The sequence below is a fragment of the Homo sapiens genome, chromosome 7 (genome assembly GCF_000001405.40).
Source record: "Homo sapiens chromosome 7, GRCh38.p14 Primary Assembly".
Classification (NCBI taxonomy): Eukaryota; Metazoa; Chordata; class Mammalia; order Primates; family Hominidae; genus Homo; species Homo sapiens.
Window position 1 is genome coordinate 14386926 of NC_000007.14, and position 27493 is coordinate 14414418.

The 27493-nt window shown below is 35.2% G+C and overlaps 1 protein-coding gene across 22 annotated transcripts in view; it reads right to left on the reverse strand.

Annotated features, from left to right (window-relative positions):
• DGKB (diacylglycerol kinase beta) overlaps nucleotides 1–27493 on the reverse strand; it is an 829810-nt gene that overhangs the window by 241877 nt on the left and 560440 nt on the right. The gene's annotated exons all lie outside the window — the stretch shown is intronic.

The window sequence follows — 27493 nt, forward strand, 5'->3', positions numbered from 1 at the left end:
GACACTTGCTATTTTAATGACTATTAAAATAGTCATTAAAATATTAAGTACTAAATGGTACTTGCTATTTTTATTAATGGATGCCGAAAGCAGTCAGGGAGCTAATTATTATATTGTGAAAGTAAAAATATATATGAGGCTCATGTAAAACAGTTTTGTTTGTTTCTTTTGATTATTTATTTATTTATTTATTTATTTATTTAAAGACAGTGTCTTGGCTGGGCGCGGTGGCTCACGCCTGTAATCCCAGCACTTTGGGAGGCCAAGTTGCGTGGATCACGAGGTCAGGAGATCGAGACAAGCCTGGCCAACATGGTGAAACTCCGTCTCTACTAAAATTAGCTGGGCGAGGTAGCATGTGCCTGTAATCCCACCTACTCAGGAGGCTGAGGCAGGAGAATTGCTTGAATCAGGGAGTCGGAGGCTGCAGTCAGCTGAGACGGCACCATTGCACTCCAGCCTTGTGACAGAGTGAGACTCCATCTCAAAAAAAAAAAAAAAAAAAAAGACAGGGTCTCATTCTGTTGCCCAGGCTGGAGTGCAGTGGCATAATCTGGGTTCACTGAAGCCTCAATTTCCTGGGCTAAAGCAATCCTCCCACCTAAGCCTTCAGAGTAGCTGGGACTATAGGTCTGTGCCAACATGCTCAGCTAATTGTTTTGTTTGTTTTCTGTAGAGACGGGGTCTCACTATGTTGCCCATCCTGGTCTTGAACTACTGGGCTTAAGTGATCTTCCTGACTCAGCCTCCTAAAGTGCTGAGATTACAGTTGTGAGCCACCATGCCTAGCCTCATGTAAGTTTAGAGCTATAAACTTAAATGATGGGTCATCAGTCATATTACTTTTTTTCCTTTTCAACATTTTTATTATCTCAATAATCTTATAAGGTGTGGAATCTACTATTATTCCCATTTTATAGGTTAGTACAGGTATCATCAGTTGAAGTGTCCTTTTCTTTTTTTTTTTTTTTTTTGACACAGTTTCACTCTGTCACCCAGGCTAGAGTACAGTGGTGCCATCTTGGTTCACTGCAACCTCCACCCCCCGGGTTAAAGTGATTCTCCTGCCTCAGCCTCCCAAGTAGCTGGGATTACAGGCGCCTGCCACTGCGCCCGGCTAATTTTTGTATTTTTAGTAGAGACGGGTTTCACCTTCTTGGCCAGGCTGGTCTTGAACTCCTGACCTTGTGATCCACTCGCCTTGGCCTCCCAAAGTGCTAGGATTACAGACGTGAGATGTCCTTTTCACTCTCACTGCTAGAAAATGGTGGTGCCATAATTTGGAAAAAAAAAAAAATCTTCTGCAGATTTGGTAAAATGATCCTGAAATAATGTGAAGCCAAAAAAAAAAAGTGGATATGCAGTTGTTCTATGTTTAAAACTATTAAGCAAATATATACATATATTCATTTAAATATATATACATATTTTAATATATACATATATTTAAGTGTATATACATACTTAAATATATATGTATGTAGATGTGTGTTTGTATATGTGTATATATATTATATATAAAATATATATATCTAAGTAAAAAAGACAAATTAAAAATACTAAAAAGACAACAGTGCTGATTCTAGTCTGAGGAGATAATAAGTCATCATTTCAACACTTAAAATTTTATGTATTGTCGAAATTTTCTGCAGTAGGTAACTATACTTTTATTGGCAGGAAGAGAAATTCTTATGAAAAATGATTGATATTATATCTTTTAAAATTGTAAGAATAAGTAAATTAGTAAATTCCAAAGTTCAAACATTAACTTCTATTGATAATAGAGTTTTAAAAATTCTTTCAGGAAGATGGAGAAAAAAGAAGACTGACAACTCTCCCAAGCAGCACCATTTCCAAAAACATTTACAAGATAGTGGATGTGGTGGTGACAACTGAGGAAAGAGCACAGAGACAAAATCAGAAGCTTGTTGAACTCCTTCTCTCTCTCCTACCAACCTGGAACAGAGGGCTTTTATATAGAATTTCAAGTGCTGTCCTTTACCCCTTTGTTAACTCATTCTAAGCATGAAGACAAGCACTCTTGGAATGATCATTTAAAACAGTCACTGCCCTTTCATGATAGCCTCCTCAGACCTTGCCAGCTTGAACAATAAATTACAAATCATTTTTTTGCTGCTATTGCTGAGGTATAGCTTTCAATATTATCACTGATTTAAGAGTTGATGTATTTTGAAAAGTCAGACTAATATGGCAGCATTTCGGATGAGGCCTCTTTTGTGTGTCTGCTTTATTCCTTTGTTGGAGTTCCACATTTTCTTTGTGTGGGACCGAGGAATCATGGAAAATTGCCACTTGTGTGATAAATTACTGTTTTCACCCATCAAACATAGAAAATGCTCCATGTGAGCCTTGCACACCATTATGTTGTCCCATCTAGGACCCTTTGAAAGTCAGCAGGGTGCATCTGGCTGAAATTCAGTCAGGCGATTAAATTTATTCAAGCTTGGTGAACTTGAGAGCTTTCAAAAGAAGAGTAGCTGAAGGGATGAGATTATAGTCCTGACAGGGCTCTGGAAAGGGTGTCTGACACCTGACGGCTCACAGCGAGCCATGGTACCTGTTCCCATTGATTTGCAACAAAGTCTTTCTCAATAAGTATTTCCACTTAACATTTCCTCTCAGGGAACCTGTGCCGTTGAAGATATTTACAAGTTGCTTTCAGCTTAAAAATAAATCACCTCTAATTCCTCTAAGCGAAATCAATCAAAAACCTGTAAAAAATGGACTGGTTGTTTGGTCGATTCTGGCAGAAAAGTAAACAGCACTTCAGCTTTTCTCCGCCATTAAGGCCTAAATGGCCTAGAAAGTAAATCAATATTTCTAGTCAGCCTTCTGGCTATTGTTTAGCCAGTAGATATGGATTTCTCTGGCTTACTGAACTCCTTTGGGACTAGCCTATAATCCTCTGAGAGGAATAATAAGTTCGTTATCTAGTTCAGCTCTCTGTTGTACATTTAAATGGACTACATCCATCAGCAGCCCTTGTTAAAGTTAAAGGGTGAGGGCATCCCATTCAACCCCCTTTAGAGTGAGACACTTCCAACACAGTGAGGGGGAAATTATAATTCAAAGTTCTACTGGTTGGCAAATGGCCTAAAAACCCTAAGTAAGGGTGAGGCAGTAATTTGAGTATGAGGAGGCATATCATACTGCTGTTTCAAGCTAGGAAATGCTACTTGCCCATTTCTGAGTATACTATGATACATACATAAGGGTATTTGCTAGAGAGTCTCTCATTATTCCTACTAGTCCTTCTTGAATGTTTTTATTTAAATACTCCTGTGATTCTGAACAGTAAAAGCTATCAGAACTTTCCTGATGTAGCAAACCAACATGCTTCCACCTCTCCTTGTCAGCAAATGGAGAATCTCATACTTCTACTAATTTTACTTTAATAATTTAAAAATGACTGTACTAACAGCTTGGCAATGCAGTTTTTGAGGGTTTTAGAAGATAAGAATCCTGGATAAAAGACCATTCCTTGAAGAAATTAATTTCCCCTTGCCTTTCAACTTGATAAACTAAAATTCTCCTTTAAATTCCATCCATGTATTCTGGCTTCATATGAAGAAGTGATAATGTAGGAATAATTTATTTTGAGCTATTTTATACACTTAATTTTTATATTATTTTGTTGATTTCTTAACAAGAGCCACAAAGACAAAAATGAATTATGATTACTTGAAACTTTCAAATGTAGGTATTTATGGTATCCAAGACATTTCTTTAACAAAACAAAAACAATAGTGTTTCCAAAGGTCCCAGGTGTCTCTTATTAAGTCTTGGCATGTATTTCATTTAGAGATTGTTTTCATAATTTTTTAAAGTAAAATTATCACAACAGAATTAATAAAGGGAAATATAATTATTTAGATAAAATAGTCACAATAGAATTTAGAAGGTAGAATATGTATGCAACATATACTCATTTAGGAATGAAAGTTATTATATTAATGCCTAATATTGAGCTAGCCTATGAAGCTGACTTGTTCTGTAGAGATTTTTACTGCTGCCTTCTTCAAGGACTCACCTCTTCAATTGCCAGAAAGTTTGTTTTAGAGAGAATACTTAATTATTTGGAAATCTTTTATGGGGAAAAATTAAATTCAGTAAAAATCAACCTAAAAGTTTGTATTCAATTTGATACGTTTGTTAACTACACTTGCTAGAGGTATTTTGTGATTAAATAATAACTTTACCGATTATTAATGCCACATTAAATTCACTTTTAAGAATTCAGTTAACAACTATTTTTGCATGGAAATGTAGAATTTTATCTATTTTGGTTTTTGCTGTATTTTGAAGAAGTCTATGCTGAGAATCTGACTGTGACAGATTTTGCTCCTCATAAGCCAAGTCAACTTTCTCACTATCACCTTTCATATTCTCCAACTTATTTGATGGCTGATGTTCTTCCCAGGAGGAGATAAAAAGGTGACTTGAATGATAAGGGAGGCCAGACATGGTGGCTTATGCCTGTAATCCCAGATTTTGAGAGGCTGAGGCAGGTGGATCGCTTGAGCCCAGGCAAGACCAGCCTAAGCAACATGGCCGGTCTACAAAAGAAAAAAAAATAAAAAAAAAAAAAGGAAAAATTAGCCCGGTGTGGTGGCAGATGCCTATAGTCCCATAGTCCCAGCTACTCAGGAAGCTGAGGTGAGAGGATCACTTGAGCCTGGCAGGTTGAGGCTGCAGTAATCACACCACTGAACTCTGGCCTGGGCAACAGAATGAGACCCTGTGTCAGGAAAAATAAAAGAAAGAATGGTAAAGACAAAGGGCTCTTCTCCGTCTTTTAGATATATTGACACTTGATTTTCATACTTTTAATTCTTCAGTAGTGTTCACATGCTTAAAGTTAAAATAAATGCAAAATGCTCACTGTATTCTCATTCTAAAATTGCGTTGGAATGATATAATATTGAGAGACTTTACTAATCATATGAAATGAGAATCAGATAGAAATGATAGAATTTATTTGCAAAATTGAGTTGATTTTTCATGTTTGATTATACTTCAACATCCCTATTAAAGTTTTACTTAAATGGTGTGAAAATTTACATAAGAACTATAACTCTTAGTACATTTATAATATACATTTCATGTGTTTTCCAAAACAATTTGGAAATCAGGTTATGTCTGCATAACCTGACAATACCAAAATGTATCTATCTCTTACTTGTCAGGAAACATTTCTTACCAACTGACTTGGAGGTATGAATGCATGTAAATTTTCTCTGTATTAGCTTCATTTTTATTCTGATGTTTGAGAAACACTAACATATATAGAGAAATATTATTATATCAATAAGGTTTAATTTGCCAGTCAAAACCTTTCAAGATTATAAGGTTATAGCCTTTATCTGGGAGTTGTCAGTACTGGATGAGGTTGCCAACACAAAAAGGTAGTGAGAATCTAGTTGTTTATTTTGTTTTGTATTGCGTTAACATGATATAATCACTTTTCTGAGAAACATAAGTTATTTCTGCATCCTCATAATTATCAGTGAATGGAACGTACTATTTATTCAACACATGATTGTTAAAAGAACATATAAATAAATGAATATGTAAATGAATATATATGACTATAAATTAAGACTACTATTTTGTTTCTGCAGCAGAAGCTTAGACAATTTATTAATGTGTGTCCCTGGGGTCTTACCAGGGCATGCAGTGGCATTGACAGAATGAATTAACTGAGTGAAGCTGTTTTGGTGCTGTTGTCTAAACTCAGAAAGTGGAGAGTAGTTGACAACAAAAGAGTTTGGTCAAATCCTATTGGAAATTCCAAATCCCATTCGCAAAAAGTGGCTATAACAAACAATTACAATGAATAAAATAAGAATTTGATCAGTCACATTCGACTGACTAGAAGACATTTATTCTATATACCAAGATAGCTTTGGAATAAGAATTTCTCTAACATCCTTTCACATAGGAGATAAAACTTCTACAGAAATAGCTCTGTGCTACATCAAAAGCATTTCAGGGAAGGGCTCAGCCAATTATAACCTGAGGGCCAAAACAGACCTGTTTTTTGTTTTTGTTTTTTTTTTTTTGAGACGGAGTCTCGCTATCGCCCAGGCTGGAGTGCAGTGGCACGATCTCGGCTCACTGCAAGCTCTGCCCCCTGGGGTTCACGCCATTCTCCTGCCTCAGCCTCCCGCGTAGCTGGGACTACAGGCGCCCGCCACCTTGCCAGGCTAATTTTTTGTATTTTTAGTAGAGACGGGGTTTCACCGTGTAAGCCAGGATGGTCTCGATCTCCTGACCTCGTGATCCGCCCGCCTCGGCCTCCCAAAGTGCTGGGATTACAGGCGTGAGCCACCGCGCCCGGTCAACAGACCTGTTTTTATACAGCTTGTGTATGTGTAACTGATTTGATGACAACGAACACCAATTTTGAACCACTATTAAGCAAAATGTTACTTCCCCAAAACAAATAACCATCTTTCTCATTAGTATACCATATGATTTAAAAAAGCACTCAATATTATATTTTTAATGTTATTAATGCATACTATGTAGAAATTTATTCTTTCTTTTGATGTAATAATCTACATAAATATCTTTAATTTTGCATCTTGGACTGCAAAGTATGAGAATTCATTATCTGGCCTTTACAGGAAAAGTTTGCCAATCCCAGTGCCAGTGTATCACACTGCTCTCGAAGGATCATGAAATATTTACATTGCTAATTTAGCTGATACAACATCTTTAGGCCTTTATCTTCTCTTCCTTCATCTCACCATCTATTTAACTATCTTATTAATCCACCTTGGTTAGAGAACCCTCAAGGATAATGTTTTTATAGTGTCTAACGATTTCTTTGTTCTAAATCTGAACGAGAAACTCTGTGTCTACTATTTGGTCTAGAAAAACCATAAGCAACCTCTCTGAACTGATGTTACATATAACATGAAGATTGTGTATATCACCTTAGAGCCATGCAACTAAGAACAACATGAGTCTGGTGACACAGATCCAATCTGAGGGGAGCTAGCTGGACATGGCTGTATGGTGAATTTTTAAAAAGAAAAAAAAAAAGTAAGCACTTAGTTCAGTTCATTTCTTTTTATCTTAAATAGCACAAAATTATCCTTTTGTCATTTAATTCACAGTGGTATCTAGAAATCAGTGATGGAAAAGATCAATTAGGTCATTTAGCTCCTTTCCAAGGTTCCAATTTTCTCTTTCAGCATATTAACTTTTGCCTGTCCAAATTTAAGTGACTAAAGAGATGGGTTTCCACAACTTACTTGGGAGATATTTCTAAATCAAATTTATCTGTACCAAAGCATCGTTAAAGACTTTGCTATTAGAGTTATACTAAATTGTTCTCTGCTTAATTGCATCTCATTTTTCCTTCATTCCTCTTGGCTACTCAAAGCAAACTTTGTTTTTCTTTGAATAGATTTATTTTAGACCAGCTCATCCTCATATATTATTGACAAAGAATATATCATTAATTGTTTCTGTTCATTACATGAATTGTTGCTTAAATATTTTTGTTCTTTTGCTCAGAAACCACAGTGGAAAGGAGGCCACTTTGTATTAAAAATAACAATATTTCATAGGAAATTCTCTTAAATTCATCAAGGGATCCAGTGGCTGTGCATAACCTTTTCTAGCTTCAACCCATCGAACATGAATGCCATGTAAGTTGTTGTTATATCTTCACCTTTCTTCCTGCTATTCATTTCCCCATCAATGACCATTTTTTTTTTATTTTCTGAAACTTCAATCACATTAAGCTTTTCTTTTTTCTGCCATAAAACATGGCTCCCATACCCCTCATTGATTAAGTCTAACTCAAGATATTCTAAGGATGCTAGGTTCAACAGCATATTGTTCTCTTCTTCCTGCCCAATTGATGGATATCCTGTAACACAATCTTGAATCCAAAAATGAGCTGATTAAAGAAGTATTAAGAAAATCCATATATATGACTAAGTCAATCCATCAGTGTTTTGCTCAGTAGGGTCAACTTTTCTGTATGTAGAAAATACCACTGCCAGGAGATAGTAATGAACTACGACCTCTGAGAGTGTTGCAACAGGAACTAACAACAAGGAAACTTTTGCTATTAGAGCAAATAGACTCCTAATCAACATATTATCGATCCTTCATTTTTGTCAAGGTTATTTTGTGCTTTAAAAAATGATCCTACAGCAAGGCTTTAATAGGAAAAGTAGACTAATTTGATTTAAAGAGTAAATGCTATTAATTATGAAAGACAGTCAATAAAAAGCTTGTTCTTCCAAACATAAAGGCAAATCTTATAGTGCCTTTGATTTATGGTAATGAATACAATGATGAAATATTTTGACTAGTATCTCTTACTCTCACCCTACCTTTTGCTGTTTTTCTTGCTCACACATTAGAAATACTTAAAATAATCTCTTCCAAGCCATTTTTGGAACAAAATAATTTTTATAATTTAGTAAATATACTTTTTAAATAGATAAACCTGTTACACAATATTTTGATATTATTTCCAGAAGAAATGTAACAAAAAGGAAAAATTTCATTTTATGTTTAAAGATATGGGTAAACATTTATAGTTGCTTATTATAAGTTGATGTTCAAACACCATATAGTGATGAGATTTAAACAAGAATTTTAGCATTCTAAAATCCAGATAAGTAAAAAATTTCAGAGAACTACCATGTTTAAATGATATATTACTATATGTAAAAATATGTGCAAATACCAAACATGTAATATTCTGTATTCTGACATATTAAATCTGTTAAAGCCATTTTTAGGTTCCATTAATTTATTATTCACATTATTTTATCTGAAAGAAATTAAGATATACATTATTTCACAATAATAAAAAACAGTGAATTTAAGAAAAAATTCTTGAACATCTATATATAACCTATTGGATTACTAGTTTCTCTAAGAAAAAGGGTTAATGCTTTATTTCCCTAAAATGATCTAATTATATGCATTGCAAGTTATTTTATGTCTCACTTCAATAAGGTAAAATTTATTGGTTATAAATTATACATTTGAAGGACTGCTTTCAATATAACTTTCCTCATTATGAGTCATCAATATATGAATTGTTTAGTCTTCTAGACTGTAATTATATGACTATATCACTGGAGAATGGTAGGGCAGGTTAACCTTACATGTTGGTTAGGATGAGATTTCCTTCTGTTATGAAAGGGTATATTTATAGGTTAGGAATTAATATATTTTAAATATATTAACTGTGAATAGATGCAAAGTCTGTTACCTGAAAAATTTCACATTTTTTTCTAAATTTTACTGAAGATTTGTTTATTTGATACAACAATTAATTTCAAGGTGAAATAAAGTAGCATATCTTGTAAGAAACAAGAGGCACAGTAGCCTAGCCTTGCATAGTGACTAAATTATCAAAACTTACATGGAACAAATAGTTTGGGCCATTCATTTAATTACTAACAGATTATATTTTCTACAAAAAGAAAGCTGTGTTGGCTTACCATCAGGGACTCCATTAATTTTAGATTCATATCAGTCTTTGTTAGACCTTACATACTGAGATTTAATGCAAAGATGATACTCAAGTTCACCTCAAAGCTGAAAACTCCACATCTGTGTGGCCATGGACCAAAAGGCTGTTTTGAGCTTGGATTTGTTGATGGGCTTCTTCAAAAAGCATGATATTCAACAACCTTAATGACATGTAGGTTAAAGCAGATGGCATATTTAAACAGAACCAGTATTTATTTTTAAAATTGCTATAAGCAGTATGTTTTAAAGTGCTCTGGACACATTTCACACCAGGGTGACAATATGCTTCAATCCACACCAAGCTCTCTTTTAGCTAAAGCTGCCATGCTATGTGACTATCTACTGAGTTTATAGAGTAATAAAACTCTGAAGACTGAAGCCAGATCTCTGAATAAAAGAGGCAGAATAGTTGCTGTAGTCTCTGTATCTTACTAATTCAGAGGAAGACGAATTTCTAACTTTGAATAAGGTTGAGAAGATGGCTACGATTTCATTTCCATGGTTTTTATTACAAAAATTATGTTATATGGAAATATTGAAGAGATTAAATTATTCCGGTCAATAAGTTTTTCAAGCTTTCTGGGAGAGAGAGAGAGAGAGAAATTTACATACAGAAGAAATTGCGGGGCATGAAAATCTGCTAAGGGTTACATGTTTTCTCGCAATTTTACATAGGTAGACAGGACATGATCTAAATGTTCTTGAAGATAGAAAATTAGATTATTAGTATGAATAATTGTGTTGTACTATATGAAGAGCTAAAGTTACAAATACCAGTTTCACTAGTACAAGACCGGGCAGGGGATAAGAATTGTGAGTGCGCTGACCTGTGGGAGTTTGCCGTTCTCTGTTTAAGCGTAGTGGTTGGCCTACTGTTAACATGTGGACTATTTTAGGAGAATAGAAGTACTAGTGCATATTTGCACCTTTCCCTTTTTCCATAGTCCAGTTGTTAGAAATATTCTGTAAGTATATTCTCAGGTTCTACTGTGGAAAGTGAGTTCTTTTCTTCTTTACTCCTTTTAAGATAGTAAAGATCACCTCTCTGAGAGTCTAGAACTGCTGTGTCCTTCTAGTCAAAAAGTTGCTTTGTTCATTGCGTTTCTTCATTGCTCATTTTCTTTAGCCTTACAGAGTCTCTTTACCACTTCTATCACTATGTGTGACCTGCATGTTCACCACCAGGGTCCAGTGGACACTTCTTTGTCATATATTTCTCCTTTTGATTACTTATTTTTCACTTTTGTTTGGTTACGTTTTGTTTCATGTTGCTTCTCTTGTACTTCTTAGCTTTCATGCAAAAAAAAGTGGATTGTGCTTGTTAGGTAATTTAAGCATTTTTCATTATGAATGCTTTCTTATGTCAAGTATAGTATTTGGGTTTTCTCCTTTTAGATAAATTAATTGTTCCCGGGTGCTCAACAATTCGGCTTTATTTTCAAGGAACTGGGAGTCTTCTCTTTTGTTTGTTATTTCAAAATGAATAGTGGTACAAAACAGTGGTGCAAAAAATAGTGTTGCAAAAAATCTGATTTCAGATGGCCACAATTTTACTGAAATATCTGAACACTCAGCATCAATATAAACATTGGAATCACTTCAAAGGATGTTTTACGCATTGGAGAAATGCAAGATAGATAAATGCTCACCTATTGCAACTATCTAAATATCTACTTTGATCTCATCCTCTTGAATGATTTCGATCAATGGTAATGACTGGGTGAAGAGAATAAAGATAGGAAAAATGAAGAAATGCCAAGTTTTACAGTAGCCATTGTGAAACATTATGTTAAACCACATTTACCAATAAATAAATGGTCTTCTATGTTTCCTTGAGCTGAGGCCTTGAGACTGTCCTTGTGAATACAAAATGAAAATTAGAAAAACAGACACTTTATAATGAACATCAGTAGGATCTGTATATGGTACTAAAGGCATAATTCATTCAAAAGGCTGAGCAACTGACAATCAATGCTTTGAGCACAAATTCACATTATGATTTTGACAAATTCACACTATCATTTTCAAAAGAAATAGCGAGGCAAAGCTATAAAATTCTTTTATAAAAAAGAAAACTTACTGGGATGTGTGAAGGCAAAATCTTGGACTCTGTTTTTATTATCATTTTGCTCTTCCAAAATGAGCAAATCATCTACAGAAGTAAAAGATTTAGTAGTAACTTTATTCTGATGAGCTAGAATGAGAGTAGAGCCAGAATAGAGATTAGAAGCTCATCAAGGGGATGGAATCAGAGTGAACAGTTGTTGGCATTTGTTATCTGGAGTCATCTATGAAGTAATATGAGCTCAGGATGCTAACACATGGTCTATGACTAAAAAAAAAAAGTTGCAGAAACAAGAGGGAGGCAAGATATTGACTTGCAGAAGGTTATGATTTTGAAATTCATTAAGGTTTTCAGGTTGGTTGTGGGCCCAGACTAATGCTTAGGAAAGATCTAGGGGCTGCTCGAATGCAACCCCAACAAGTTATGTGCCTGTAAAATTTGCAGATCTGAATATCTCACATTTACAACCCGCAGACGTGAAGAGAAAGTATAGTGAAATTAGTAAGAGATTTGGACTCAAGAGATATGAGTTCAGGAGTTTCCTCGGCGACTTAGAAAACATATGTATCCGAGTTGAATTTTTAACTTCTCCAACGCTCATTTTCTGATTGGCAAAATGGCAATACCACTATTACCACCATCATTACTACTACTAGAATAAAAGTGGTCTAAAGCTATTGAGAATATATCAAAAATATATTTGAAAGCATTTGGTACAGAAAACAAAATGTTAGTATTCATTATTATAAATATATAATAATGGTTAAATAGCCACAACTTTTTGTATATGGAGCTATTTATGTGAGAAAAATAACTTACCATATTTGAGTTTTCAGTTATTTTATAATCAATAGCTCCAGTTAATGCCCTAAAACCTAAATATTAGTGAGACAGAAGTATGTAACTTGTTTGATATTAGTTAAATTTAGAAAAATTATATTTTATTAATAACAATACTTACAAAGCCATTCATCCTGAAACAATAGTACCTATAATACAAATAACCCTTAACTAATTTTATAACTAAGTGCTAAGATTAAAGGAAAAAAATGTGAATTGATTACTATGTATAGTGACTGTCCTATATATTTACTTGTATAAAAAAGCAAGTTTTGATTTTAGCCTGAGATAAAAGAAAACTTAGAGTTGATAGTACTTTAATTGAGAAAGACTATGGGATGACATCCAAATTATGTGTTTCTAGAATGGCAATGAAAATCTACTTCAACAGGGTGTTCTTTGAAAAAGTCATTCCTCTTGAAGTTCTCAAAAAGAGACAGAATAGGGAACAGACTATTCTGAAGCCTTTGAATCTAACAAAATGACAAAATGAAAGTTTTTTTTAAACAGTCTTCATAGACTGCCAGATTTTTCTCTTTTGATAGAAGAGATACACGAAGGACAATATTAACAAGAAATTTAGAATATTACAAAAAACACCATAAATTTTGACGATAAGAATATTTTCAAATTATTTTAAAAGAAGTTCTAAAGTATTTAACAGACTATCCATAAAAAAGCATTTGTATGCTGAAGTGCGTGTAAAAATAGTTACTAAAAATCCATTTTGAAGCATCATATAAATCTCTTCAATTAAATTGCAAATCAAAGAGGAAAACACCCTTTATGGTCTCCTTTAGAGTAAGGACCATGATTTCATTTCCTTGTGACTCTCAGTAATGCCAAACATAATGCATGTTCAGTAAATAGTCAGAATAACCCACAGACTTCCTTACATTATGTTTAATAATTTGTGACTCCTAGAGAAGTTAAGCAGTGATTCCTCAGAGAAATCACTGAGCTAATCCAATAAAAATTCGAGTATTTCAGGTCTCTTCTGCTGTTTCTACACTAGCCAAGTACAAGTATATACTCTGGCATTTGGACATATACTTGTGCCTCTACAGAAAGCACCATATTCTCCAGAGATCTGGCAAGTAACAGACTTCATCTTGCCAGTGTAGAAATAGCATTAGAGCAAGACTAATTGCTGGAAAGCCTGTTCAGAAAGATTTGTCATTCAGGATGGTAAAAATAATCCTGCTTTTCAGCGTACATTCAAACTTTTTTTTATTTCCAGTATTTAATGGAGATCAAAACATTACCATTTCCACAAGTGAATGCGTTTTATGTAATGCAGCTATTTCCTTTGATTTGAGTTCAAGCAGAAAGGCTAAAATGAAAAAAAAAATTCTGTCTAGACGTATCATGTTTGTTTCTTGTGTGAGATGAAATTTATTAATCCTGAAATGTGGCTTAAGGACATATTTATATGTGTTATAAGTATCTTATTGAAAAACAGAAATGCCAAGAGGGAGAGACCTCTTAGATATACCCTTGAAAACATAGTCAAGTTTAAGCAGGTCACATTCAGTGGGGGGTCCAGAGATTTATATTCAGGGAATCTACCGAGCTATCCTTGACTGCCTCCCCACTCAATTTGCTGTCCTGTACTAGATATGTTGTCTTGTTGACTACAAAATCACCACCAAATATGTCTGCTTATAGTAGCAGCAGCCAACACCTTGCATGACTTTATTAACCTGATTCTGCCAGTGACAACATCTCTAATAAAATCCAATGTCTCTGATTATTTTAACTTTTGGCTCAAGGTTTCCACTTTTAAAAGAATATTACCTACTAGATTTTCAATCATAATCCAAAATGTCTTCCATTGTGCATGGCCAAATTGCCATAGTCTTATCTAAACAGTTCAGATCAAGCCAATTTCTTAACTCTCAACCTTTAATAGTAATGTGAACATAGCTGTTGGATTTCTAGCACCTTGTTCCCTTATCTACCATCTCATAAGCCTGAGAAAGCATATCTGTGATTTGTAACACAAGAGAGCCAACATAACCACAGTAAATAAAAGAGAAACATGTTATGATGTTAAGCCAGTGCACTGCTTGGCATGCATTAAGTTCACTGTAGCTGAAAAAATAACTGTGAGGCTCTATATCCCATTAACACTGTGTTAATTATTGTCATTGTCTCATCAATGTTTTGTTTATGACAGCTCTGGCTGACAGGAATAGTGGGATGTTCTGTCAAGGCCATCACCTGATGAGATTTTATTGGCAAAAGATCTTTCTTCCCTTTACTATGTTAGGGGTATCAGTGCTTCATTAACTCTAAACATAATCGCTTGCAATAGGCCCAGTTTTTAAATGTTTCAAATAATTGATATAATAGTCCCTTTCCAGCATTATAGTTAACCAATTCACCCTCTAAAAATGAGAGACATCCCTCAATCTCTCTCAACTCAAAAGACCACTCAATGGCAGTCAAATATGAAAGGAAAATACTGTCTCACTGGGGAAGACTTTTTAATACGGATAGGATGTTTTATTCCTTTATGTATGATACCTGTGAATAAAGAAAGCCTCCATAGAGGAGGAAATCTATCTCAAGAAAAAAATAAAACACAATAATTTGTACACACACACACACACACACACACCCGCTATTCAGCTATGATGAATCATTGCCCTCTCCCTTTTAAATCTTGCTCAATGAGAGGGCTGTGGGGTACTACAGATTCTTGGGCAGGGGCTAATAATTACCATTCTCTTTTTAATTATTTATTTCTATATATAGAAATAGATTATATGAGATAGATCTATTTCATTTCATATATGACACTCAATCCTTATTTTTTAAAAGAAAGAAGGAAGATTGCATCATTCTTACCATTAAACTGTCTTATCACAGCTTAGCTATTTCTGTAAGTGAAAATATTTCAAGCTAAATGAAAGTTCCCTGCAATTTCAAATTCACAGAATAATTCTAATTTAATGATAAAGATGATACTCCTACCCATATCAATGCCTAATTTTAATTCCAGGAACATAGTTTCTTACTAACATTGCTTTTGCTTTTTTTTCCTTATTGACTGCTAATACAATTCTTTATGACACTGGGTGTGCGCTCTAGTCTACAATTTAGGAATTGCATATTTTAAAAATGACTCAGTTTCCTCACTTATGTCATTAGAGTCAAATTTGCTACTCTGTTTAACCTGCAATACTGTTATGACAATATGAAATTTATGAGTATGACAGTATGTAAAAATAGCTATCAAAATGTGAAAAGTTATTATCTATAGCACTGACCTGAACCATAAGTAGGTACTATAAGAGTGATCATTAATTTTATGTGTCAATTTGGTAAGGGTATGATACCCAGTTTGGCCACATACCAGTCTAGATGTTGCTGTGAAGATGTTTTATAGATATGATTAACATGTAAATCAGTAGATTTTGAATAAAGCAGATAATCCTCCCTAACATAGGCGGGCCTTCATCTAATCAGGTGAAAGCCTTAAGAAAAGAGATCAAAGGCTCCAGACTGTAACCTGAAAATTCTGTCTGAGTTCCTAGCCTTTGGACTATGCACTGCAACATCAATTCTTAGAGGAATTTCTAGCCAGCTGTCTTGCCCTGCAGTTTTCGGACATTTCAGCTCCACAATAGCATGATCCAATTCCTTAAAATAAACCTTGCCTTCTTTCTCTCTCTGTGTATCATTCTCAACCCCATCTATCTGTATATGTATATACATACATAGATACACACACATTCTATTGGTTCTGCTTCTCTGGAGAATACTAATACAGTGTTTGTTAGAAGAAATTACATATATATACATACCCCTCCCATAAATTGAACACAGACTCTCTCTTTTAATTTAAAAAAAAAAGCCTGATATTCTGGAACAGGATGTTCTCTCTGTATCAGAATCAGTTTCTGCTCCTAGACAGCAGTCAAGTTCTGCCAGTAGATACCAGCCCCTCCTTCCTCTAGCTTATACAGGCATGAGAGTAATTAATCCTCATGCTTATTGGAGTTTAGTTTGGCTTTGGCACAGTATGCTTTCCCTAGCAAACCATAATTGATTCTGAATAATTGATCAGCAACGAACATTCAATTTTCTTTATCTTCTCTTCCTCTCATTCTCCTATGATATATGTTTTCTTTGGGGAACCATTTTCCATTTTAAAAAAAACCCCAAATGCAAGGCCTTTTAGTGATCAAATCAATTCATGCTGCTTTCTGCCAATTCGCATCAACTCCAATGCAACTCCTGTTGGAGAACTCTTAGGGAACCCTAATTAGTGTCCCATTGTATCCATTAGTTTTCAATAAGGAAGTAAACTTCTTATGTAAAAACCTCGGAAACTATTTACATGTGACTGCTTTGCCATTTATCAACCACCACACTAGCTTGCTTTTTTCAAAAATCCTTTGATGAGGACTGTTATTGAAACCACTAAACCCTACATGAGTCATGGAATCTGGCTAGACAAAGACACCTAAAATCAGAACCTGTGATACTCATCTAAGCTTTGTTAATTCACCTAAGGATGATGTCCCTCACTTTTCTCTTATGTAAAAGTAAGATTATAATGATACCCCACTTAAATAATTATTATAATTCCTTAGGCACCAGAATAAAACCTCTTAGCAAAACAGAAGTAAAAAGTTCTTTGAGGAAAGTAGTCTTCAAAAAGTCAAGGCATTTTATCACATCAAAGAGAAGTGGGTCACTTTCAGGCCAAAGGCATGCTTAGTGTAAGGTGCAAAATTAAGCTTACTTATTTAGTGAGGTTGGATATCTACTTTCTTCTAATAATCAAACATAGATGGATACTAGATGAAAAGTAACAGAATGTGAGAAACTGTTGGATGCTGATATTTTGAGATGAATCATACATATGTCTCGGATATCCCCATTTAACCTCCTATTCAATTTAGATGCAATGCCCTTTTATTTCTTTCAACCTCTGAAACAAGAAATGTTATCATGACCTTTTTTTTATTGAATATTATGCTGTTACATACACACCTTTCCAACTCTCGTGGGAGTCAAATGCTTAGAAGAACAAATCTACAAGTGGACTTTCTCTCATTGTCCATTCTACCCAACAGCAAATTAGATGCACACTCAACTGCCTACCCTGCTATACACTGTTCCTTAAAACAAATTATAACTCAGCATCCCATTTAATCCAGTTGCATGAAATTAACATTTACCGAGTAGCCACTCTGTGCCAGAATCTAAGCCTAATTATGGAAATAGAGCTGCAGCCTCGTTTTGAAACAAAACTTCCCAAGGCCATGGTCTCTAGTCACTTTCTGCATCACCTCATCTTGCTTCTCACTCAATCCCTCCCTTCAGTCCCCTCCTCTATACCAGAAGTGTTCTTTTCTGCTCTGCTTGTCTTACTGGGCCTTCACCACTGTGTCTTCTTGAATTGCTCCTCCTGCTCATGTCTGGGAACCTACACTCTCTGCTTTTCCTTGTCTTTCGTTGGCTGCTCTTCTTCTACTTCCTTAGTCACTCCCACTTCTCACCTCAGCCATTAAACACTAATGAAACCCAAGCTTCAGACCAGTGCTGTGTCCCCATCCTCTCCCTGGTTAATCTCTGGGTAATCTCATATAGTGCTACTGCTGAAAGCATCACATAGAACTTGATCATTTCCAGATTTATATCTAAAATTTCAAACTCCAATAGGATACTAGATTCCACCATTTAGAGCTCATATTTAATATATCTAAATTGAAATTCTTGATTTCCACATTTCAAATTATTCTGCCTCAAGTTTCTCAAGACTAGAAATTGTGTACAGTGTTGCATATGTGGATAACTGAGACATAATCTAGTCAACAGAAGAATGGGTAATATTCTTCTACATAACCTTGTCAGTATCATTCTCATGATTTTTTAAAAAAATAAATTACAGTAAAGAGTATCAGCTGGGGAATCACAAGAACCTGCTTTTTAAATACAGAATCTACCATGTTATTAGCTTTTTAATAAGTTACTTAATCTTATGACTTCTGAAATAATTCATGACAAGCTACTTAATCTCTATAAATGTCAGTTCCCTCAACTGTTAAATTTGGATAATAATAGCCATTATGAAATCAGCTTGTAGTAAGAATTAAATGAGATAGGCTTCTTAAAGGATATAATCAGATTTTATGCATTCATTTTTTCTTTTACTCATTTAAGAAATCTGTATAATGAATCTAACATGTTTCATTCTAGGTGTTGAGGATGCAGAAACAATCAAGACAGACAAGGTTCTAGCCACCCTTGAGCTATAACCAAGTTGGAGAAAAAAGTCAGCATGCAAGTAAACAATAATCATTCAAGCTATATAGGTTGTGCCTCATGAAACAAAAGGACTTTGTATGTGAGAGAGTAATGGAAACCAGGCACAGCTTTTAAGAGATGATGTCTAGAATGGGACCTAAAGAAGAAGGAGCTCTCCATGCAAAAATATAAGAAAAGCCCATTCTAAGCGAGAGACATCAGGAAGGACAAAGGAACCGAGGCAGGAAAGAGTTTGGTGTCTTTTAGGAATAGATGAGAATCCAATCTTGGGCTAATGAAGCAACACAAGATTCGCAACAGCAGGGAGTTGCTACTATCTTTAGCTTGAAGGAGAAAAAGGAGGAGGTTGTATTACCAGAGCCCAGGGGTGGAGTGACCCAGCATAACATAGAATCTTAGTTGGTATATTCAAGAGAAGTTGGATCCAAAGAAGAGATACAGCCATTATTAGAGATGCTGCCCCAGAGGGAGAAGGAGAGATACCTTGAAAATTTCCCTTAATCCCTCCATTCGTTATATCACCAATGACTTCCAGTGACTGAACCAAATCAGATGCCAGATGACACAATAGCCTAGCAAATGCAGTCTAAGAATTCAATCTCCAACACACCCAGTAGAAAGAGCAAAGGGTAAGAAATTGACTTGAGAGCAAGTTGGCTCAGAACAGTAGACCCTTAAATTCATTAAGGGTCAACTACTTTAATACTTTGGGAAAATAATCCCACTATGCAGGGAAAGAGGATGAATTTTAAAATGTCATATTTTAGGTATATAAAGAAAAATCCTGCCTGACCCTGATATAAAGAAATGAAGATATTAGAAAAAAGTGTTGGCTCTACATGTCCAGGTACTACTGATCACGACAGCACTTACAGGCTCTAAATGGTTAACTTCCTGAAAAGTGGCTGTTATATGGAAAACCATAAAACAATCATTGGTGATCCTTGTTTCTATTTAAAAAAACATGCTCTTAGGTTCAAGTAGACTGACCCACTTTAGGACTATCTATCCCTAGGGATCTTGTAAAATGCAGAGAATGAGAAAAACCTTTAGAAGATGCTAAACTCTCCGCTTTTAAGCTAACTAGCATGTTGAACAATTTATTTGTACAATATGAGATATGACCATATTGCATCTCATCTTATGGAATTACTCAAGTTATATACAATTTTCTCAAGTGCTATTGCTAGTCTGGATGTAGGAGTGAAGAGAATAAATTGAGGGCTTGATCTATGTTTGGGGTTTTCAGAGAAGACATAGAAATGAAAGAAGAACAGATTGGTTGAGAATATAATCAAGTGATTATGGGTTCTGTATTGAGCAGATAATTTAGTCCAAGAAGATGCTTATAGTTATGAAAGAAAATTCAGGATCAAGTACATGAGGTCTATAGAAGGTCAAACAGTAGTTAAGAAGGAGTGAAGAAGTGTGAGAGCTAAAGGATGTAAAGTAGAAGTCAGAAAGTGAGGGCAATGAGGCATTCTAGTGCATGAATGTGACAGGGAGCAGCTGAAGAGAATGGAAGTGATAGTTCTAGTTCAACGGTTCCAGGAACTGCCATGTTAGGGAGTTAGAAAGTTGCCCACATGGATTTGAAATTTGTCCTTAATTTATTCATCAAATGTAGTTAGTGCTATTATGTCTATTGTTCAACGTTGCTGAGTAACAAACAACCTCAAAAATCCTATCGGCTTCCAATAACATTGTGTCTCGTGCTTATCAGACTGTGGTTTGACTATTTTCAGTTGATCTAGGCTGGACCATGTTGCTCCACGGTGTGAGACTGGAGAACTTTGCTCCAGGATTTCAGTCTTTTCTATGTGTGTTTATTTTAGAGGGCAGGCTGATGGAGAAGAAGCTACCTGGGTATGCTCTTCTTATTGAGAGTGACAGTACAGGAGGCAAAAGCCTAACCACACAAGCAAATTAAAACCTCAACTCACTTCATAGCTGCTAAAATTTCGTTGGCCAAAACAATTCATGTTTTATTAAAATAAACTGAAAACTGAAATTAATAAGAGGTTTTTCTTTTCTAATGAGTTGTATTATAAAATCATACGGCAAAATCTTTGGTTAAGACAGAGTAAATATTTCAAATGAAGATGCAATAAGAATGAAGACAAATGCTGTAAATCATGTGCTTCAGTGGACTTTGAGACTCTTGGCAAGTGAATGGAAGTCAACAGAGATCAGCAACAAGAGAGATAGAATAGACAGAACTAGGGACTAATGTTCAAAAAAAACCATGATCCTCTCCATGCCCCTACACAGAAGACCTTAGAAGAATAACAGTCTGGATAGGGCATAAGGCAGTGAAAAACAGAAACTACCCTCCCCCAATCCTCACAAACCATAAATAGCAGGTTGTGGGGGCATACTGATAATTACTAGTCATTAGAAGCTAACTGTGGAACACACACTGTAAGAAGACAAAACATATTTTATCAAACACAGTTATGAAGAAAAAACATGGTGGCTCCTGACAAAGTAGGCACATCCCTCTTTCACGGTTTAATGATCAATTACTCAGTTGAAGTTTTGGTCTCTGAGGATATCAGAGTAAGTGTGATTGATTGGGATTTTATAGAACTTGTCATTAATAAACCCTAGGTGTTGGAGGCAGGAAAAACGCCCATAGCCTGGTTAATTATCATGGAAGTACTTCGGATTTTTGTCTTGGAGGGAGTAAGAACAGAATAAGGACATTTCTGAAATCAATAAGCAATTGTTTATGTGACCGGTATGGTTCTAGCAATATGGGGAATACAGAAGGCTTGTAAGACAAAGCAATCATTTTCACAGGGTAAAATTAACCACAATATTAATGCTACCTGATTGTAGGCTGAACTGGAAAAGTCTGAATAATTTATATATTGAGGTGCAGGCAAAATGCCATTGGAGGATACATTTAACAACCTTCCAAATACATAGAACAATTGCCATTTCTAAGTTATGTTATAATCCTATTCTTCTAGCTCACTGATTCTTCTAAATTTCAAATATAGTATTTTAAATTTCATATTTTTGGTTCTTTACTTGATAATGAATCCAAGCTTTAAAAACAAGCTAAAAAATGAGTAAATACAGTTGGCCCTTGAACAACATGAGGTTGAACTGCATGGGTCTACTTGTACGTGGATTTTTTTTCAACAAATATATTGTAAAACTTATTGAAGATTTGGGACAATTTGAAAAAACTCACAGATGAGCCCTATAACCTAGAAATATGGAAAAACATGAAGAAAAAGTTAGATATGTCATGAGCGCATAAAAGATATGTAGATGCTAGTTTAGTTTATCATTTACTACCATAAAGTATACATACATTTATTATTAAAAGTGAAAATGTATTGAAACATACACACACGAACACTTGCAAACAATACATGGCACCATTTGCAGCTGAGAGAAATGTAAACAAACATAAAGATCCAGTAGCAAATCGGACTTGCATAAAATTAACTGTAGTACATAAGGTACTACTGAAATAATTTTGTCACTATCTCTTATTGCCATTGTGGTGGGCTCAAGTGTTGTGAGTATCTGCTTAAAACTCCACGTGATGCTAATCATCCCGAGGGAGCAGTTCCTTTCTCTAGTAAATTCCGTAGCACAGTAAAAAGCCATCATTCTCAGTCCTTGTGTACTTTTCATCGTGTTTAGCGCAATACCATAAACCTTGAATAATATCATGAGACCCACATGAAATGCTACTAAGGATGCTTGATGTGTTCCTGAGAAGCAGAAAAATGTCACGACATTAAAGAAAAAGTTGAGGCCGGGCGCGGTGGCTCACGCCTGTAATCCCAGCACTTTGGGAGGCCGAGGCGGGTGGATCATGAGGTCAGGAGATCGAGACCATCCTGGCTAACAAGGTGAAACCCCGTCTCTACTAAAAATACAAAAAATTAGCCGGGCGCTGTGGCGGGCGCCTGTAGTCCCAGCTACTCGGGAGGCTGAGGCAGGAGAATGGCGTGAACCCGGGAAGCGGAGCTTGCAGTGAGCCGAGATTGCGCCACTGCAGTCCGCAGTCTGGCCTGGGCGACAGAGCGAGACTCCGTCTCAAAAAAAAAAAAAAAAAAAAAAAAAAAAGTTGAATTGTTTGATATGTACCGTAGATTGAAGTCTGCAGTTGTGTTTGTCCCCATTTCAGACAAAAACGATTCATCTTATAAACAGACAAGTACTGTAAATGTATTTTCTCCTCCTTATGATTTTCTTAATAACACTATCTTTTCTCTAGCTTACCTTGTTGTAAGAAAACAGTGTAGTAGTACACACAACATACAAAATATGTGTAAATCAACTGTTTATGTTATCAGTAAGGCTTCTACTTAACAACAGGCTATTAACAGTTAAATTTGGGAGGGATTCAAAAGTTAAAGATAGATTTTTGACTGTGTAGGAAGTTGGTATCCCTAACTCTTGCAATGTTGAAGGGTCAACTATAAGCCAAAACACTCTGATACCACAACTAACAAAATCTGTATTCACACTCAAATGTCTCAGGTATTCTTCCATCAATTTTTCTGACCTTTTAATTACACTAAATATATATATATACACATATATATACATATACATGCACACATGTATATATATACTCTTTTTATAATCTTCCTTCAGATAAGCTTAACACATTTTAAAATTTTAATATAGTTGTATATTTTTATAAAGTCTGGTTCTGTGTAACTTTCTATTCATTTTTCTCCAAATTCATCTCATGTGTATATTCATTCTATTTCTAAACCTTTTGCTATTCCTATCTCTAAGACATTTTTATTCAGCAAGACACATCTAAAATAGATTTTATCTGCATTCACTTATATAACCAAACGTATTTATATTTCCAAGCACATTTCTTTCAAGAATTATTTAACATTTATCCATTGTTAATATGTTTTCAAATGTCAAATCTTGTATATGACAAAAGGTATGACTGAATAAATCTGGCTACATAAAAACGTTAAAATGACTGTAACACTAAAAGTACACATATATGTGCACATACGTATCCCACAAATAAAATTAAAAGAAATTTGACAAAATGAGTAAATAGTTACCACATCTGAGCTACATAAATATCTTTAAGATAAAAAGAGCTCTGAGGAATCAATGATATTTTAAAAATTGTATCAAATCAAAATGATAAAAGATAAGACTAGATAACCCACAGAAAAATGAAAATGTGTTGAATTTCTATTGAAATATAAATATATACAATTTTATTAAAGTGAATGCCTCTACAGATGGTCCCAACCTATGCTCGTTTGACTTAAAATGATTGTTTTGACTTTACAATGGTGTGAAGGTGATACACATTCAATAGAAACCTTACTTGAAGTCTTGAATTTTGCTCTTCTCCCGGGTTAGTGATATGCAATACCCCTGAGATGCTGCGCAGTGGCAGGTTTCTGCAGCTCCCAGTCAGCCACACCATCGGGAGGGTAAACAACCAGTACTGTAGTCTACAGTGTATGGTATTCAATATATTGCATGAGATATTCAACACCGTTATAAAATAAGCTTTGTGTTCGATGATTTTCCCAACTGTTAATGTAAGTGTTCTGAGTGCGTCTAAGTTAGGCTAGACTAACCTATAATGTTTGGTCAGTTCGATGTATTAAGTGCACTGTTTATTTATTTGACATTTTGTTGTAGTTTTCAAGTTACAATGGATTTGTCAGGACGTAAACCCATTGTAAGTCAAGGAGCATTTGTATCTTCTAATGGCCAAAATATTTTTCTTTAATAAGTTGGTAATGGCCCAGATACGGGAGTAAAGAACTATAAATTAATATAAAATCTCTGGAGAATGTCTGACAACAAACATCAAAATATTTAAAGTGTATTATTTAACAAGTCTTATGGTAATCAGAGTTCTGGGTTCAAATTGTTGGTCTACCACTTGGTTGCTATGTAATCTCAGTAATTTATTTTACTCCATGAGTTTTAGCTTAAATTCCTGCATAATAGGATCATAACAACCATCTTTCAAGGTGGCTGTAAGATAAACAGTATAATACACACATCTTAACACATTTTCTGACAATGATAACTGTTCTTCAGACAAAAACTTCTATCCTAATAGTTTCTCATCTTTCTCCCCTACCTCTTTCTTTTTTTTCTGGAAATAATTATAGATACAAAGAAAGCTCTGTATACAAAGATGTTAACCAAAGTATCATCTCTAACAGTAAAATATAGGGGCATTGGTTTAATACATTATGTCATATTAATATAGTAGAATAATATGTGACCATTTAAACCATGTTATAGAAAAATTAATGAGATTGTTTAGTAAAATGCTTAAGTGATATTGATATACCAGAAAATCAAGTTGTATAAGTAATAAGTGTTTTATTATCACAATTTTGTTTACTTGTGTGGTTATGCCCTTATAAAGGGCAGGTATTTCTGTGTATGGGTCATGCATGAGCATGATATGATGTATATGCATGTGTGATTGTGTATGTGTATGCATAGGCACAGAGAAAGACCAGAAGTCTATAAACATTCACCTATTCAGAAAAAATTTGCTGAATTGCTGCTATAAAGCAGATACCATACTAACTTCTGGTGATAAAAAGTAAGAGAAGACAAACACAAATTTGTACAGCAAACAATATATTGGGAAGCTAGATGTTGTTAGAATAATCTCTAAAATAGATTTCAAATTCTGATTGGGATAATGCTACAAAGGGACAATGTGATGTGGAAGAATGTAACAGGCACATTGACTTTTGAAAGCAGGTCAGAATTCCCTGCTCAAGACCCAGTTGAACTGAAATCTGCAAAAAGTGCAAGACATACATAGCAAAAAGGGGAGGAAAGAGAGCCCGGGGAAAGGAGCAAAGGAATTTGGTGTGGCTTTAATAGATGAGCCTGAGGCTCAGGGAGTCTGGAAAGGCAGGTGACAGATCAAACCAGGTTTAAAATACACTGTTAAGGAGAGTTGAGGAGGTGATCGTATAAGAAAAATGATCAGAGATCTGTTAGGAAAACATCACTTTAACTATAGACTGAGGGAGAGCAAAAGTCAGCGAGGAAGGCCAGGCACGGTGGCTCACGCCTGTAATCCCAGAACTTTGAGAAGCTGAGGGAAGTGGATCACCTGAGGTCAGGAGTTCGAGACCAGCCTGGCCAACACAGCAAAACCCCATCTCTACTAAAAGTACAAAAATTAGAAGGCGTGATGGTGCGTGCCTGTAATCCCAGCTACTCAGGAGGCTGAGACAGGAGAATCGCTTGAACCCAGGAGGCAGAGGTTGCAGTGAACTGAGATCATGCCATTGCACTGCAGCCCAGGTGACAGAGCAAGACTCCAGCTCAAAAAAAAAAAAAAGTCAGTGAGATGAGGAGTACCGTGAAGTCATTTGAGTAATTCAAGTGAGAGATGACAGCAGCCTGGACTAGGATGGAGTGAAATGGAATGAAGTGATGGATTTAGGAGCTACTTACAGGGCAAAACTAAAGTGATATAGCAATGGATTGGATATGGAGAGTGCAACATGGAGAAAATAATAATATCAACCACACAAGGACATGAGAATGAAAAAAACAATACGCCATTTCAGCATCCCAGATGGGGCCAGGCACAGAAACAGACTGATGTTGAGTGAGAAGCAGCTGATGAAGATGACATAGAACTTTTACTTGCATAACAAAATGGATAGCATTGCCATTCATGGAGATGGGAGATAGGGAACACTATTAATTTTGAGGGGGACAGTCATAAATTCAGTTTTACATGTAAAAATTTAAATTATTTTCAAAATATTCAAGAGGAGATGCCAATGTGGTAGTTGGGAAAATGAGCCTGGATCTCAGAGGAGAGGTCTGGGTTGTATATAAAAGTTACGAGGTTACATATGTGGTCAATAAAGCTAAAGGTGAAAGGGCCTAGTAACAAGTCTTGAGGTATTCCAGGTAAAGGAGAAGAAGCCTGAAGCGGGATAGAGTAGGAGATATAATGTCACAGAAACCAAGGGAAAAAGGGGGTTTCAGGTATCTAACTGTAATACATCTTGCTAAGAACTCATTTAAGATGCAGATAACAGAAATCTCCCTGAAGAAAGAGAGATGGAAGTCATTGGCACCCAGGGCAAGAGTGATGAATGTGTAGACAGTATTGGATCAGACTTGAGCTGTGAAAATAGAAAATATGAAAAACATCTTCAGTATTTTGGCTATAAAGAGGAGGAACAACAAAGGATATTCACCAGAAAGACATGTGCAAGGCAAATTAGTATAGAATTTGCTTCTTAATGGGAGAGATTTGAGCACATTAAGAGTAGAGATTTGCTCTTGGAAGTTAAAGGCTAAATCCACACTAAGTCCTTTTATTCAATATTTATGCGGTTTTAACAAATTGTTGTACATTTTTTAAGTTTACAAGTTGTGATATTATACAGATAATTCAAGAAAAGAAATATTAAATAGATTACAGCAAAAGATGTAAAGTTTCAAAATATATCAATAAAAATATAAAGTAGATGAATTAGAGGGATCTATATACCCTTTACAAATGTCTGGAGCTTAGAAGGTGAACAATCAGTGTGAGAGACTGGGATAGAACAAGTTCGAGATAAGTGAGTATAAAGAATCTAGAGGGGGTCAGGAAAATTTACCCTCCAAAAGTAAAACAGAGCAGGCTCTGGGAAGATTTTAAAACTTGCTCGAGCAACTAAAAATGAGAGTTGAAAAGACTCCTGTGATAGTAAGAAGGTTATTTCAATATTATATGACATACAAATTGTTTTGGAGATG